Source organism: Homo sapiens, chromosome 6, assembly GCF_000001405.40.
Source record: "Homo sapiens chromosome 6, GRCh38.p14 Primary Assembly".
In the NCBI taxonomy this organism is placed as follows: Eukaryota; Metazoa; Chordata; class Mammalia; order Primates; family Hominidae; genus Homo; species Homo sapiens.
The window spans coordinates 30,835,350-30,848,428 of record NC_000006.12 but is presented as its reverse complement, the minus strand read 5'-3'; the positions used below and the strand labels follow the sequence as shown (position 1 = coordinate 30,848,428).

Sequence of the window (13,079 nt, the reverse complement as noted above, 5' to 3'; positions counted from 1 at the left end):
CTGCCCTTTGTCCCTGGTTCCTAGGAGGGAAACTAAATCCTTGGAATCTCCTGAGTAATATGAGTATCTTTGTTATTCATGAGCCCCTTGGATCACACCTGGGCTTATGCTAAGAGAGAACTCACGATGGGAGGTTGGTCATCAGAAAGATCACATAATAAAAGGATTGGGCCTTAGAGCCAGCCCAACCTCGACGGAGGGTGGGAGGACTAGAGATTGCGTTCAATTCGGTGGCAAATGAGTCAACCAATTGTGCCTATGTAATGAAAACTCTGGACGCCAAAATTTGGTGGAGCTTCCTGGTTGGTGAACACATCCATGTGCCAGGAGGGTGACACAACCTGATTCACAGAGAGAAGACACAGAAGCTCTGCATGGAAGACCCGCCCAGACCCCGCCCTACGTGTGTCTTCATTAGTCTGGTCCTCCTGATTTGTATCCTTTGTAACAAGCCTGTAATCGTAAGTATAACATTCTCCTGAGTTTGGTGAGTTGTTCTAGCAAATTATCAAACCCGAGGGGGTTGTGGGTACCCCCCAGATTAGTAGCCAGTTGGTCAGAGGAGCGAGTAGCCTGGGGACCTCCACACTTGTGGCTGGCGGCGGAAGTGAGGGCAATCTCATTGGGGCTGAAACCTGTAGTTAGTGTTGTGCTGCACTATTCCAGTCCCTTATCCACCTACATTCCTCATTTCCTTGTCGGGGCCTTGCTGTGATGTCTCCATTTGGGTGATTTCATAAAGGTTAGAGATGAGGGAGGGCAGATTTACCTGGAGAACAAATTCCTAGGCCTTTTGATACTTTTTTTTTTTTTGAGACAAGGTCTCGCTCTGTTACCCAGGCTGAAGTGCAGTGGTGCAATCCAGGCTCACTGCAACCTTGCCTCCCAACCCCCACCCCCACACTCTGGGCTCAAGCGATCCTTCCACATTAGCCTCCAGGGTAATTGGGACCACACGTGCGCACCAGCACGCCCAGTTTTGTTTTTGGTTTTTTTTTTTTTTTTTTTTGTATTTTCAGTAGTGAAAGGGTTGCCCAGGCTGGTCTCAAACTCCTGAGCTCAAGCAATCTGCCCCCCTCAGCCTCCCCAAAGTGCTAGTATTACAGGCATGAGCCATCGCGCCCAGCCAATATACATTCTTAACAATTTTTTACTTACCAATTCTCTGTTCTGGCTTTGTATCTCTGATTTTACTAGATTATCCCTGTTTTGGCAAACACTAACAATATTTATATAAGTTTAGCCTATATGCCTTAAAGACGTTTTCTCCTACTTCCAGAACTTTCTCAGTTGTGTGTGTGAGTACGCCTGGCTTTTCATCAAAGAGCTTTGCCGTCTTGATGCTTCCTTTTCTGTGAACACAGCAATAAATAGATTCTGCAGAACAAATGAGTGAGTAACTTTTTTTTTTTTTTTTTTTTTGAGACAGAGTCTCGCTCTGTCACCCAGGCTGGAGTGCAGTGGAGCTATCTTGGCTCACTGCAGCCTCTGCCTCCTGAGTTTAAGTAACTATTGTACAATAGTGATCACTGCCACAAAGTCAAGTATACATTGTTTATAATCTCTGAATTGAAGTACAAATTTTACTTTCTCTTTTTTTTTTTCCTTTGGAGATGGAGTCTCCCTCTGTCACCCAGGCTAGAGTGCAGTGGCAGGATCTCAACTCACTGCAACCTCCGCCTCCTGGGTTCAAGTGATTCTCCTGCCTCAGCCTCCCGAGTATCTGGGATTACAGGCACGTGCTACCATGCCCGGCTAATTTTTTGTATTTTTAGTGGAGACGGGGTTTCACCATGTTGGGCAGGCTTGTCTCGAACTCCTGATCTCAGGTGATCCTCCTGCCTTGACCTCCCAAAGTGCTGGGATTACAGGCATGAGCCACCACACCTGGCCTTTTTTTTTTTTTTTTTTAATAGAAATGGGCTTCCCCACCTACCCCCACCTGGCATGGTGGCTCATGCCTGTAATCCCAGCACTTTAGGAGGCTGAGGGGGGTGAATCACCTGAGGTCAGGAGTTCGAGACCAGCCTGGCCAACATGGTAAAACCCCATCTCCACTAAAAATACAAAAACTTAGCCGGGCATGGTGGCACGTGCCTGTAATCCCAGCTACTCAAGAGGCTGAGGCAGGAGAATCACTTGAACCCAGGAGGCAGAGGTTGCAGTGAGCTGAGACCGCGCAATTGCACTCCAGCCTGGGCAACAAGAGCAAAACTCCATCTCAAAAAAAAAAGAAAAGAAAAGAAAAGACAAAAAAAGAAATGGGTTCTCACTATGTTGCCTAGGCTGCTCTGGAAATCCCAGGTTCAAACAATCCTCCCTCCTTGGCCTTCCAAAGTGCTATGATTACATGTGTGACCCACCATGCCCAGCTCTAAATATCTTTAATTGTAAGTGTGTAGCATTCCATACAATCCAAGCACAGTTTTATATAATGGGTTGAGCTAGATCAACAAGGTTATAGATGGCTGGTTCATGATCACCAGGTTGGTGGGTAAAATCAGCCATTAATCTCCTATGAAAGGCCAGGTACAGTGGTTCATGCTTGTAATTCCAGCACTTTGGGAGGCCAAGGCAGGTGGATTGCTTGAGCTCAGGAGCTCAAGACCAGCCTGGCCAACATGGTGAGACCCCTCTCTACTAAAATACAAAAAACTAGCCGGGCTTGGTGGTGGGTGCCTGTAGTCCCAGCTATGTGGGTGGCTATGGCAAGAGAATTGCTTGAACCCGAGAGGCGGAGGTTGCAGTGAGCCGAGATGTTGCCACACTGCACTCCAACCTAGGCTACAGTGAGGTAGGAGTTATTAAGAAATTATTTTAGGCAGATAGAGAGGAAAAAGGTCCATGGAAAATTTTTCACAGCTCTTGTCTAGCATGAAAGCCCTGGCTCTTAGACTTGGGCCAGCAACCTTTGATATGCAAACGCTAGCTGTTAGAAACTGGGTCCACCCAACAAGGCTATTCCCACCTTTGTCCTCTTGCCCTTGCCCCTACATGTGCCTGGCAGCATGGCCGCCCCCACATATCCCCACGTGTGTGGAACATGACACAGCCCTACATTTGCATATTAAAAGGCTAGGGTGGGAGGGCCAGCTTTTTCGCCGGCTACATGAATGACATGCCTGGTCAAACCAATCCCCTGAGTCCTATGCAGATCAGATACTGCCTCCTCCACCCATCGAATATAGCTGGCTGGTATTACCTAAGTGCGGGGTTCCATCTCTCGGCTTTGGAGCCCCCCTCCCTCTGTCTCTGTACAAGGGAGTTTCTTCTTTCTTTCTTCTCCCTTCTTTCTTGCCTATTAAACTCTCCGCTCCTTAAAACCACTCCACGTGTGTTCGTGTCATCTTATCTAATTCGATGTGAGACAAGAGCCCTGGTGTTCCTCCACTCATCAGAGCCATATCAACAGAGGGTGACTGTCTCAAAAAAAAAAAAAAAAAAACTCCTCTGAAAAACAGAATTTAAAACTTTAAGTGGGCAAACATCATTTTTATTTTTTTAAAAAGTCAACAAATTCTTATAACCAACATTCATGGTCTCAAGTAACAAGTTGACAGTTTGAGCATCAGCTGCAGAAGATAAAAAAAAAAATTGAGGTATTTGCAAGAAGCTCTTGCTAGAAGGAATAAGAGGGGCTGAGCATTGAAGCCTGGGCCAGGTGAGCTGTCTTCCTTGCCTCCCCACGTTCCACACCCCAGACACCACTGATGGGGAGCTTAGGAGATGAGGGGTGGAAGGAGGAGGTGAGGCTGGGTTTCCTCCAGCTCAGGGATGTTGTCTTGAATGTCCTCATTGAAGGATAAGGAGGAAAGTGATGTCCCTACCAAGGCTGACAGGCTAAGGAATGGGAAAGCATCTTTGGAGGTCCCCAGGCCGACTACTGAATATCCTGCCCCAGGTGTCCAAGCTCCACAGTGTGGCTGGTGGGTGTGCCCTTGGCACCACTTTCCCCATGTGCTGAGTCTTCTGGGAAGCAGGCAGCACAAATGTGAGGACACGCTAGTGCCTCGGGGACCCTTCACTAAGACCGGCAGCTACCCCTTCCCCAACCCTTTTGCCCCTCTCTTTCAGAGATGGAGCCCATCCAGAACCCAGCTGTGCTGCTGCAAGGTACATTCTGTCTCCCTCTCTCTTTCTCTCTTTCCAGCACACCAAATTCCCTACATTCCAGGGAGGGAGTTATCTCAGTCTCCAACTGCCCCAGAGTGGTGAGCAGCATTCCACACACTCCAAGCATATAAGGAAGAAGTGCAGTAGGCTGGGGACTGGCAGAAGGAGCTCCCTGGGCAGAAGAGCCAGGAAGGTAGCTGGGTAGGAAGTAACCTGCATGGGCCCAGCCCAAGGCACTAGAAAATCAGCCTTCCCCAAATAATCACAGAGGCTTCCAAACGTGCCCCACCCCTTCAAGCTCCCTTCCCAGGGCTCTGCTGCTCCCTCTCACTTTCTCTTGCTCTTTTTCCTTCCCACTCTAAGTGTCCTACTTCCATCTTCTTCCCATCTCTTTGTCTCTTTCTTCCCTCTCGGGCCCACCTTTGGCTTTTCTAGGCTTTGATAAAGAGTTTCCTGAGGCTCACCACCGGCAGCTGAATTCTGGTCTCCTCTTCCTGCCTCTGCTTGCCTCCGTGGACTCCTAGACATGCTCCTTGAGCTTGTGGGCAGGCATCTCAGCACAGCTGTGGGATCTGGGGCTCAGAGACCCCCAACTAGCCTGTGCCTAGAATCATATTTCAATAGAATGATTTCTTTTGAATCTTATTGATGCAGAACTTTGTTCCTTAAACCCTAAAACCAGGTTCTTGTCACACAAGCAGGAAAAGCTAGGAACGCAGACGCATTGAAGGGTGAGGGGAACAGAATTTATTGGGTGAAAAAGGAAAAGAAGAAAAAAAAATCTCTCAGCAAAGCAAGAAGAGTTCCTGCCAACAGCACCCCCACCCCCAGACTGATTCCAGGCTACACACAAGAACTGAAGAGGCCAGGCTCCTCCCCAACTGCACATGGCACGAACTTCCCGTGGCTCCACCCCCTTCTCCCAAGTGCATAGGCAGGTCAGAGATTCTCTGGGGACCCTTTCCCTTATCTACCTCCTGCATCTATCAATATGGTGAAACCCTGTCTCCAAGAAAATTGTGAAAGTTAACTGGGCCTGGTGGTGCACGGATGTGGTCCCAGCTACTTGAAAGGCTGAGGTTGGAGAATCACCTGAGCCTGGGAGGTCGAGGCTGCAGTGAGCTGTGATTGCACCACTGCACTCCAGCCTGGGTGACAGAGTGAGACCGTGTCTCAAAAATAAATTTAAAAATAAAATAAAAATAAAGAGTTGCAGCCTACAATGTACCATTCGGACTAGTGGGAAGCATAGCCTCTGGCAGAGCCTAGAGAATGAACTTTGAGGGACGAGGAGGAATAAGAAAGGAATTTAATCTGACTGGGTTGGCCAAGTATACATATTCAACAGGTTACAGAAGGAGCTATGAATATTCATGAAAGTGGTCCTGAAGCACATATACTGAATAAACTAGTATATTGCATATGACCCATGTGCACCTTAGGGTGGAGACTTAGCATTTAAATGTATTACAGCTGGCCAGGCGCGGTGGCTTACACCTGTAATCCCAGCACTTTGGGAGGCTGAGGCAGATGGATCATGAGGTCAGGAGATCGAGGCCATCCTGGCTAACAGGGTGAAACCCCGTCTCTACTAAAAATACAAAAAAAATTAGCCGGGCATGGTAGCGGGTGCCTGTAGTCCCAGCTACTCGGGAGGCTGAGGCAAGAGAATGGCATGAACCTGGGAGGCAGAGCTTGCAGTGAGCCGAGATCGCACCACTGCACTCCAGCCTAAGCGATAGTGAGACTCCGTCTCAAAAAAAAAAAAAATTAATTAAAAAAAAATAAATGTATTACAATTAGGTCTTATACATCAAAAGGTCTTTTCAGGACACAAGCAAACTCAAGTATGCAGCATCTGTAAACCAGCCAGAACCAGTCCATGGTCAGTAGTCTTCTTATCAGGAGAAGGTTACTGAAATCAGTCTCGTGTTCAACCCAAGCTGTAGTTTTGGCTGATGGACGATCTGCAAGTTGTTTTAATCTTGCTTATCTCAAGGCCAATGTTTGTTTGGCTGCTAGAGAAAAATTAAAACCTTGTGGCAGAACACTTTTTCTTTAAGTGCAGGGGTGTGTGACTTAACCCTGACCTGCCATGGCCTTAAGTCTTGTTTATAGTTTGGTCTTTCATTGGCTCAAATACTTTGTTCTGTCAGTCTTATGATCTCTGGTTTATTAATGCTGGTCAGTGGTTGTCTAAACCACAAAAGGGATGAGGTATGACGAGGTGTGTCTGACCTCCCATCCTCTCCTGCCTGGGAACTCAGTTTTTAAGGTTTCTCTGGGGTCCCCTTGGCCAAGAGGGGGTCCATTAAGTCAACTGGGGGGCTTAGGATTTTATTTTCAGTTTACAAAATTATCTCACTATAGTCTCTCAAAAGGAGTCTGTGTTCTTCCCTGAAAGAAAGCTGACATCCCCTGCTGCTGGGGGTTAAGGGTGGCAGGGTCACACATAAACCAGGTGTCAGAAGGGCTGTGGGCAGAGGCCGGAGCAGCCTGATTAAGGTGGGAAACCCCAGGGTTGTTCTTGATAATGAACTGAGGTGGAAAGGGAGAAAGGCAGTTGTTTTGTGAATCCACTGGAGACACTGAGCAGCGGACAGAAAGCAGATGTCAGGGAGTGGGAACCGGGGAGCTGAGTGGGTCCATCCTAAAAGGGGCAGCTCTGAGGCGTTCCTAACCTTTTAGTGCTGCAGGCCTTGTAGCCAAACTTTGTGCCCTACCCACTTGTCCTCTAAGGTTGCCATTCAGATGGCTCCGTCTTTAAGCCTCTGACACTGTTGAGGACTTACCCTAGTCACAGGAGCACTACCCATGGGTAGGGCAGGCTAGAAATGTCAGTGCCCTGGGGGCAGCCCTCAAGTGAAATGGGATTTGGTGAAGAAATACCCCAGCTTCCTCAAGGGTAGGATGACTCCGAGGCATGCTCTATACAGTAGTCTCTTGAAGGTCCCAGTGGGATTGAGCCAAGGAGTTCATTAAGTTCATTGCTCATCGATGCACCCCATGCTGGCTTCTGCCCTTTCCTGTCTACTTTATCAATTATGCCAGGGATTTCCTCTCTAATAACCTCCTTGCTTCAAATCTTTGTCTCCAGATCTGCTTCTGAAGGAAACTAACCTAAAACAGACCCCTTTGGCAATTTGTGAAAGCTGCTGTACTTCTGAGAATAATGGTGGGGTTTTGTTTTTTGTTTGTTTGTTTTGAGACAAGGTTTTGCTGTGTTGCCCAGGATGGAGTGCATTGTCATGATCATAGCTCACTGCAGCCTCCACCTCCTGAGTTCAAGAGATCCTGCTGCCTCAGCTTCCTGAGTAGCTGGGACTACAGGTGCAGGTCACCACACCCGGCAGAATAGTGTTTTAAATGTATAAAATAAAATAGATAATGATAGATGCAGGAGACAGATAAAGGGGAGGGTCCCTGGAGAATCACCTGCCTGCATACTGGGAAAATGGGGTGGAGCCACGGGAAGTTCGTGCCGAGTGTGCAGTGGTCGGGGAGGAGCCTGGCCTCTTCAGCTACTGTGTGTGGCCTGGAATCAATCTGTGGAGTGGGGACCTGTTGGCAGGAACCCCCCTTGCTCTTTGCTGAGAGGTTTTTCTTTTCTTCTTTTCCTTTTTCACCCAAAAAATTCCATTCCCCTCACCCTTCAAAGTGTCTGCCTGCTTAACTTTTCCTGGTCATGTGACAAGAACCCGGTTTTAGCTGAACTGAGGAGCAAAGTTCTGCATCAGTATTGCCAGGCTGGTCTCGAACTCCTGGGTTCAAACGATCCACCCACCTCAGCCTCCCAAAGTGCTGGGACTGCAGATGTGAGCCACAATGCCCAGTCAGCAGTAACTCTTTAAAAGAAATAAAGCTCTCCTTTCCAAATTTATGATTTTTCTTTTCTTTTTTTTTTTTTTTAAGAGACAGGGTCTCACTCTGTTGCCCTGGCTGGAGTAAATAGCTCCCTGCAGCCTCAAACTACTGGGATCCACTTCAGCCTCCTGAGTAGGTAGGACTACAGGCGTGTGCCAGCACACCTAGCTAATTTTTATTTATTTATTTATTTATTGGTAAAGAAAGGGCCTCACTATGTTGCCCAGGCTGGTCTCGAACTCTTACCCTCAAGCAGTCCTCCCACCTCCACCTACCAAAGTGCAGGGATCACAGGCAAGAGCCACTGTCTGCCCAGCCTAAAGTTGTGATTTTTAAGTTAACATATCATTGTCAAATTAATTTGTGTTTTCTGTTTTTTCCTCACCTAACCCTGCCTCCCTCCCACTCTTCGCACCACCCTGCACTTCCAAGCCAGGAGAAAGGACTTTGTGCTCCTTCACCTCAGAAACCTGAACTCAGAATTTCCTTGTAGACACTTTTCAGGCCTTTGTTTGCTGGAGACTGGAGTTCCCTGAGAGGATTAAGGGTGTGGTGGGGAGTGTCTAAAGGAGCCCAGTGCCTTGAGGGCAGCCAAGAAGACAGAGGCCCTGGACTGGATACCGGCTGAGGTAGGTGGATCCCTGTGGGGTGGAGACCATCCCCAGCTCCACAGCCCCAGGCATGTCAAGGGCTATCATCAAGGCCTCAGAGGAGACCAGCTGCCTGGGGCACCTCAGGAAGCTATACCCTGACACCTGGACTCCAGAGTCCACAAATATATCTGTACCCAAACCAGTGGGCAAGCAAAGAAGCCCTTGCCTTTGGGAGACCTCAGGATGTTGGCCATGAGAACATCATGGATGGGCGCGGTGGCTCGCTCCTGTAATCCCAGCACTTTGGGAGGCCAAGGCGGGTGGATCACCTGAGGTTAGGAGTTCGAGACCAGCCTGGCCAACATGGTAAAACCCTGTCTCTACTAAAAATACAGAAATTAGCCAGGCACAGTGGCAGGTGCCTGTAATCCCAGCTACTCGGGCGGCTGAGGCAGGAGAATCGCTTGAACCTGGGAGGCAGAGGTTGCAGTGAGCCAAGATCATATCACTGTGCTCCAGCTTGGGCAACAAGACAGAAACTCCATCTCAAAAAAAAAAAAAAGAAAAGAAATCATGGACTCCAAAAGGCCTGAAGTGGAGAGTCCTGAAGCCATCTCAGACCATGAGGCCACCCTAAGGGTAGAAGGAAGCACACTAAGATGACAGGAACAGAAGACAGGAGCCTGGGTCCATCATGCCAGGGAGCCTCCACACCTGCCCTGGACGTTTCATCTCAGACCTCGTGGATAAAGCAGAGAAATAAATATCTACCTTGTTTAAGCCACTTATTTTCAATTTTTTGTTTCAAGCAGGCTTTTCATGAAGTTCCCAGTCTGACAGCATTAATTGGTGGGCTAGAATTTGTGGACGGTTTCCATGTATGTATTCTGCAAAACCATCCATAAGAAAGAGTTGAACAAGTCTTGGGACTAGCTAGAGAAGTGGGCAAAAAAAGAGAGGAAGTGGCCGAGTGCGGTGGCTCACGCCTGTAATCCCAGCACTTTGGGATGCTCAGGCAGGCAGATCACGAGATCAAGAGATTGAGACCATCCTGGCCAACATGGTGAAACCCCGTCTCTACTGAAAATACAAAAATTAGCTGGGCGTGATGCCATGCGCCTGTAGTCCGAGCTACTCGGGAGGCGGAGGCAGGAGAATCACTTGAACCCTGGAGGCAGAGGTTGCAGTGTGTCAAGATCATGCCACCGCTCTCCAGCCTAGTAACAGAGTGAGAATTCCGTCTCAAAAAAAAAAAAAAAAAAAAAGAGAGAGAGGAAGTAGCCTCTCCACTGCCCCTGCCATGCCTAGAAGGTTCCCCAGCATAAGAAGAGATCATTTGCATCTCAAACAGCACAATAGGCAGCCTGCTGGGTGGCCGGGGAAACTGTCCAAGACAGGACCGTACCAGAGGCCTTTTCTTGTCCTTTGAATATTTCAACTTCTGTGCAGGAAGGCTTGGGCTTTCCCAGGACAAAATAATTTTTAACATTTTATTTGTCTTATTAAATATTAAATAAATATATTTGTAAAAGATACAGACATGAATAACAATGATACAAAGAATGACAAAGTGACCTTTTAAATTTGAGACCAATTCCATCTAAAACAATCCAAGCCACCTGTAGCTGTTGGTTTGATTGCAATAACCAATACTGGACCATGGTTACTTAACCTATCAACCCAAGAAGAAATCTTTCATAACTGTGATGATCACGAAGGAAATATAAACATGGCTAACCTGTGTCATGAAAAATGGAAGCTAATTAAGGTATCTGAAATGAGTGAGGAGACTGAGGATGTTCTGAAGGAAATGCAGGAAGGAGAATTAGCCTAAGTGCATCCATGTTGAACTTATACATAAATCTTTCCTTGGTTGGCAAGAGTCCAGAATATGATATCACAGTGTGTGAAGGAGGCTGAGAGGAAACAGACTGTCCCATGCATTGCTGGCAGCAGTGCAGATGGCACAGTTCTGTGGAGCAGACCTGCAATATCTACCAGAACTATACATGCACAAACCCTTTGACCCAGAGATCCCCCTTCTGGGAATCTATCTTATAGATTCACCTACACAAAGGTAAACTTGCTTAGGTATAAGGTTATTCATTGTGGCATTATTTATAATAACAACGGATCAGAAACAGCCCAACAACCCAGCAATAGGAGACTGGCGAACACACAGCTCTGGTCGATCCACCAATGGAATACTATAGAGCTGTCAAAATGAAAAAGGCAGGAGGAACAGCTTTACGTGGTGATAGGGAAGGATACCCAGTATATTTAGTTACGATTTTAAAAGGAAGGAGCAAGATGTATATAACATGCTTTTTTTGTGTAATAAAAGAGGAAATAAAAGTATGTTATTTATGTTTGCATAAAGAAACGTTGGGAGAATAAATAAGGCACTATTCTGGTAAAAATGGTTACTGACGAGCAATGTGAGGGGAAAAAGAGAGGGTAAGTGTGGGGTAGGAGTGATATTTCTCATGTACTTATTGATGTCATTTTTATTTGAACTACATAAATGAAATATCATTTTAAAAACTAGGCCTGGGTGTGGTGGATCACACTTGTAATCCCAGCACTTTAGGAGGCCAAGGTGGGAGGATGACGAGTTCAGGAGTTCAAGACCAGCCTGGCAACATAGCAAGACTTTGTCTCTACTAAAAAAATTTTAAAAATTAGCCAGGCATGGTGCCACATGGCTGTAGTCCCAGCTACTCATGAGGCTGAGGTGGGAGGATTGCTTGAGCCCAAGAGTTGAAGGCTTCAGTGAGCCACTGCACTTCAGCGTGGGTGACAGAGCAAAACCCTGTCTCAAAAAACATACATAGAATTTTAAAAATCCATATCTGGACGATTTATTAAAATCAAAGAAATACAGAGGGCAGCTATTTAGTAACCAAGAAATAAGGACATGGATCAAAAATAATCGTATTTTGTTTTTCTGACCAAGTCCCTCCTCTGGTCCCATGCCCCACTTTTCATAAAGACAAAATTTCCAAACTTGGAGACATTTCAGGGAATCCTTGCCAAGAAAAATGCTGATAAATTGATGGACACAGGAGCCTACAATGCAAAAAAAACAGAAAGCTATAAAATGTTCCAGGTGGCTTGAGAAGCATGTTATTTTTGTCATTTGGGGCTATAAAATGTGCATGAAATGTCACATTCCTTACTTTTACTCAATCAAATGTAATCTGCTCTGTGTCCTACCCAGAAGACTGGGAGGAAATTCAACCCTAGTCATTAGTGGGGCTGTCTCCTCCCTCCAACACATTACAAAATACCAGGGGCTTAGGCAGTACCAGAAAAGCTGGGAGCAAGGCCAGGTCCTTAGTACTCAGGATAGCCAACTTAGTTCGCTCTAGCTGCTGTGACAGAATACCAGAGACTAGGTGACTTAAATGACAAATATGTTTTTGTTTGTTTTTGAGACAGGGTCTCACTGTATCACTCAGGCTGGAGGGCAGTGTTGCAATGTCACCTCACTACATCCTCAACCTTCCAGGCTCAGGTGATCCTCCTACCTCAGCCTCCCGCGCAGCTGGGACTATAGGTGCATACCACCACATCTGGCTAATTTTTCTTTTTTTTTTTTTTTTTAGACACAGTCTCGCTCTGTCACCCAGGCTGGAGTGCAGTGGCACAATCTCGGCTCACTGCAACCTCCGCCTCCCAGGTTCAAGCAATTGTCCTGCCTCAGCCTCCTGAATAGCTGGGACTACAGGTGCCCGCCACCATGCCCAGCTAATTCTTTGTATTTTTAGTAGAGATGGGGTTTCACCATGTTGGCCAGGCTGGTTTTGAACTCCTGACCTCAGGTGATCTGCCCTTCTTGGCCTCCCAAAGTGCTGGGATTACAGGCATGAGCCACCATGCCAGCCTAAGTTTTTGTATTTTTGTAGAGATGGGGTTTTCCCCATGTTGCCCAGGCTGGTCTCAAACTCCTGGGCTCAAGTAATCTGCCCACCTTGGTCTCCCAAACCTGTACTAGGATTACAGGTGTGAGCCACTACACCCAGCTGAATGAATATGTATTTCTCACAGTTCTGGAGACTAGGAAGTCCAAGATCCAGGTACCAGCAGATTTGATGTCTGCTGAGGGCTCTCTTCCTGATTCTCAGACTGCAGCCTTCTCACTACCGATGGCCGAGAGAGAGCTCTGGTCTCTAACTCGTCTTATAAGGGCACTAATCACACATGGGGGCTCCACCCTTATGACCTCAGCTAAACCTAAGTACCTCCAAAAGGCCCCACCTCCAAATATCATCACACTGGGGGTTGGGTTTTCAACATATTAATTATGGGGGGACAGAGACATTTAGCCCATAGAAGCCACTATTGTTTCTCTAGCTGCCTCTACTTTCAGAGGCTACAGTCAAGTCCTGGAGTGATGTCCTCTGGGTCAGGCCCAGCACTTCCCCTCACATCAGCAATGTCCACATCACCCATAGTAGAATCTCCCTGGGGACCCTGGCCTCTGTGCCCCTAGCTGGGAGAAATCAT

The 13,079-nt window shown here is 47.1% G+C and overlaps 1 long non-coding RNA gene across 1 annotated transcript, besides 3 other annotated features; it reads left to right on the top strand.

Moving 5' to 3' along the window:
- The first annotated feature begins 269 nt into the window (after positions 1-269).
- Positions 270-8,900, top strand: LINC02570 (long intergenic non-protein coding RNA 2570). Its single transcript, NR_134610.1, has 3 exons — positions 270-461; positions 1,280-1,392; positions 8,410-8,900. It is a non-coding gene; the product is annotated as a long intergenic non-protein coding RNA 2570 (long non-coding RNA).
- Positions 740-1,242: an enhancer, noted in NCBI's record as "NANOG-H3K27ac-H3K4me1 hESC enhancer chr6:30814964-30815466 (GRCh37/hg19 assembly coordinates)". NCBI's record gives its function as "activates a minimal SCP1, AML or CMV promoter by ChIP-STARR-seq in naive H9 embryonic stem cells {active_cell/tissue: H9 hESC(naive)}" and the evidence as "EXISTENCE:reporter gene assay evidence [ECO:0000049][PMID:30033119]".
- Positions 3,843-4,137: a silencer, noted in NCBI's record as "tiled region #587; HepG2 Repressive non-DNase unmatched - State 21:Repr, and K562 Repressive non-DNase unmatched - State 7:EnhWF". NCBI's record gives its function as "represses a minimal TATA promoter and a strong SV40 promoter by Sharpr-MPRA in HepG2 and K562 cells {active_cell/tissue: HepG2 | K562}" and the evidence as "EXISTENCE:reporter gene assay evidence [ECO:0000049][PMID:27701403]".
- Positions 7,416-7,592: a silencer, noted in NCBI's record as "fragment chr6:30808614-30808790 (GRCh37/hg19 assembly coordinates)". NCBI's record gives its function as "represses an EF-1alpha promoter that drives an FKBP-Casp9 reporter gene in an ReSE screen in K562 erythroleukemia cells {active_cell/tissue: K562}" and the evidence as "EXISTENCE:reporter gene assay evidence [ECO:0000049][PMID:32094911]".
- Positions 8,901-13,079: the final 4,179 nt, after the last annotated feature.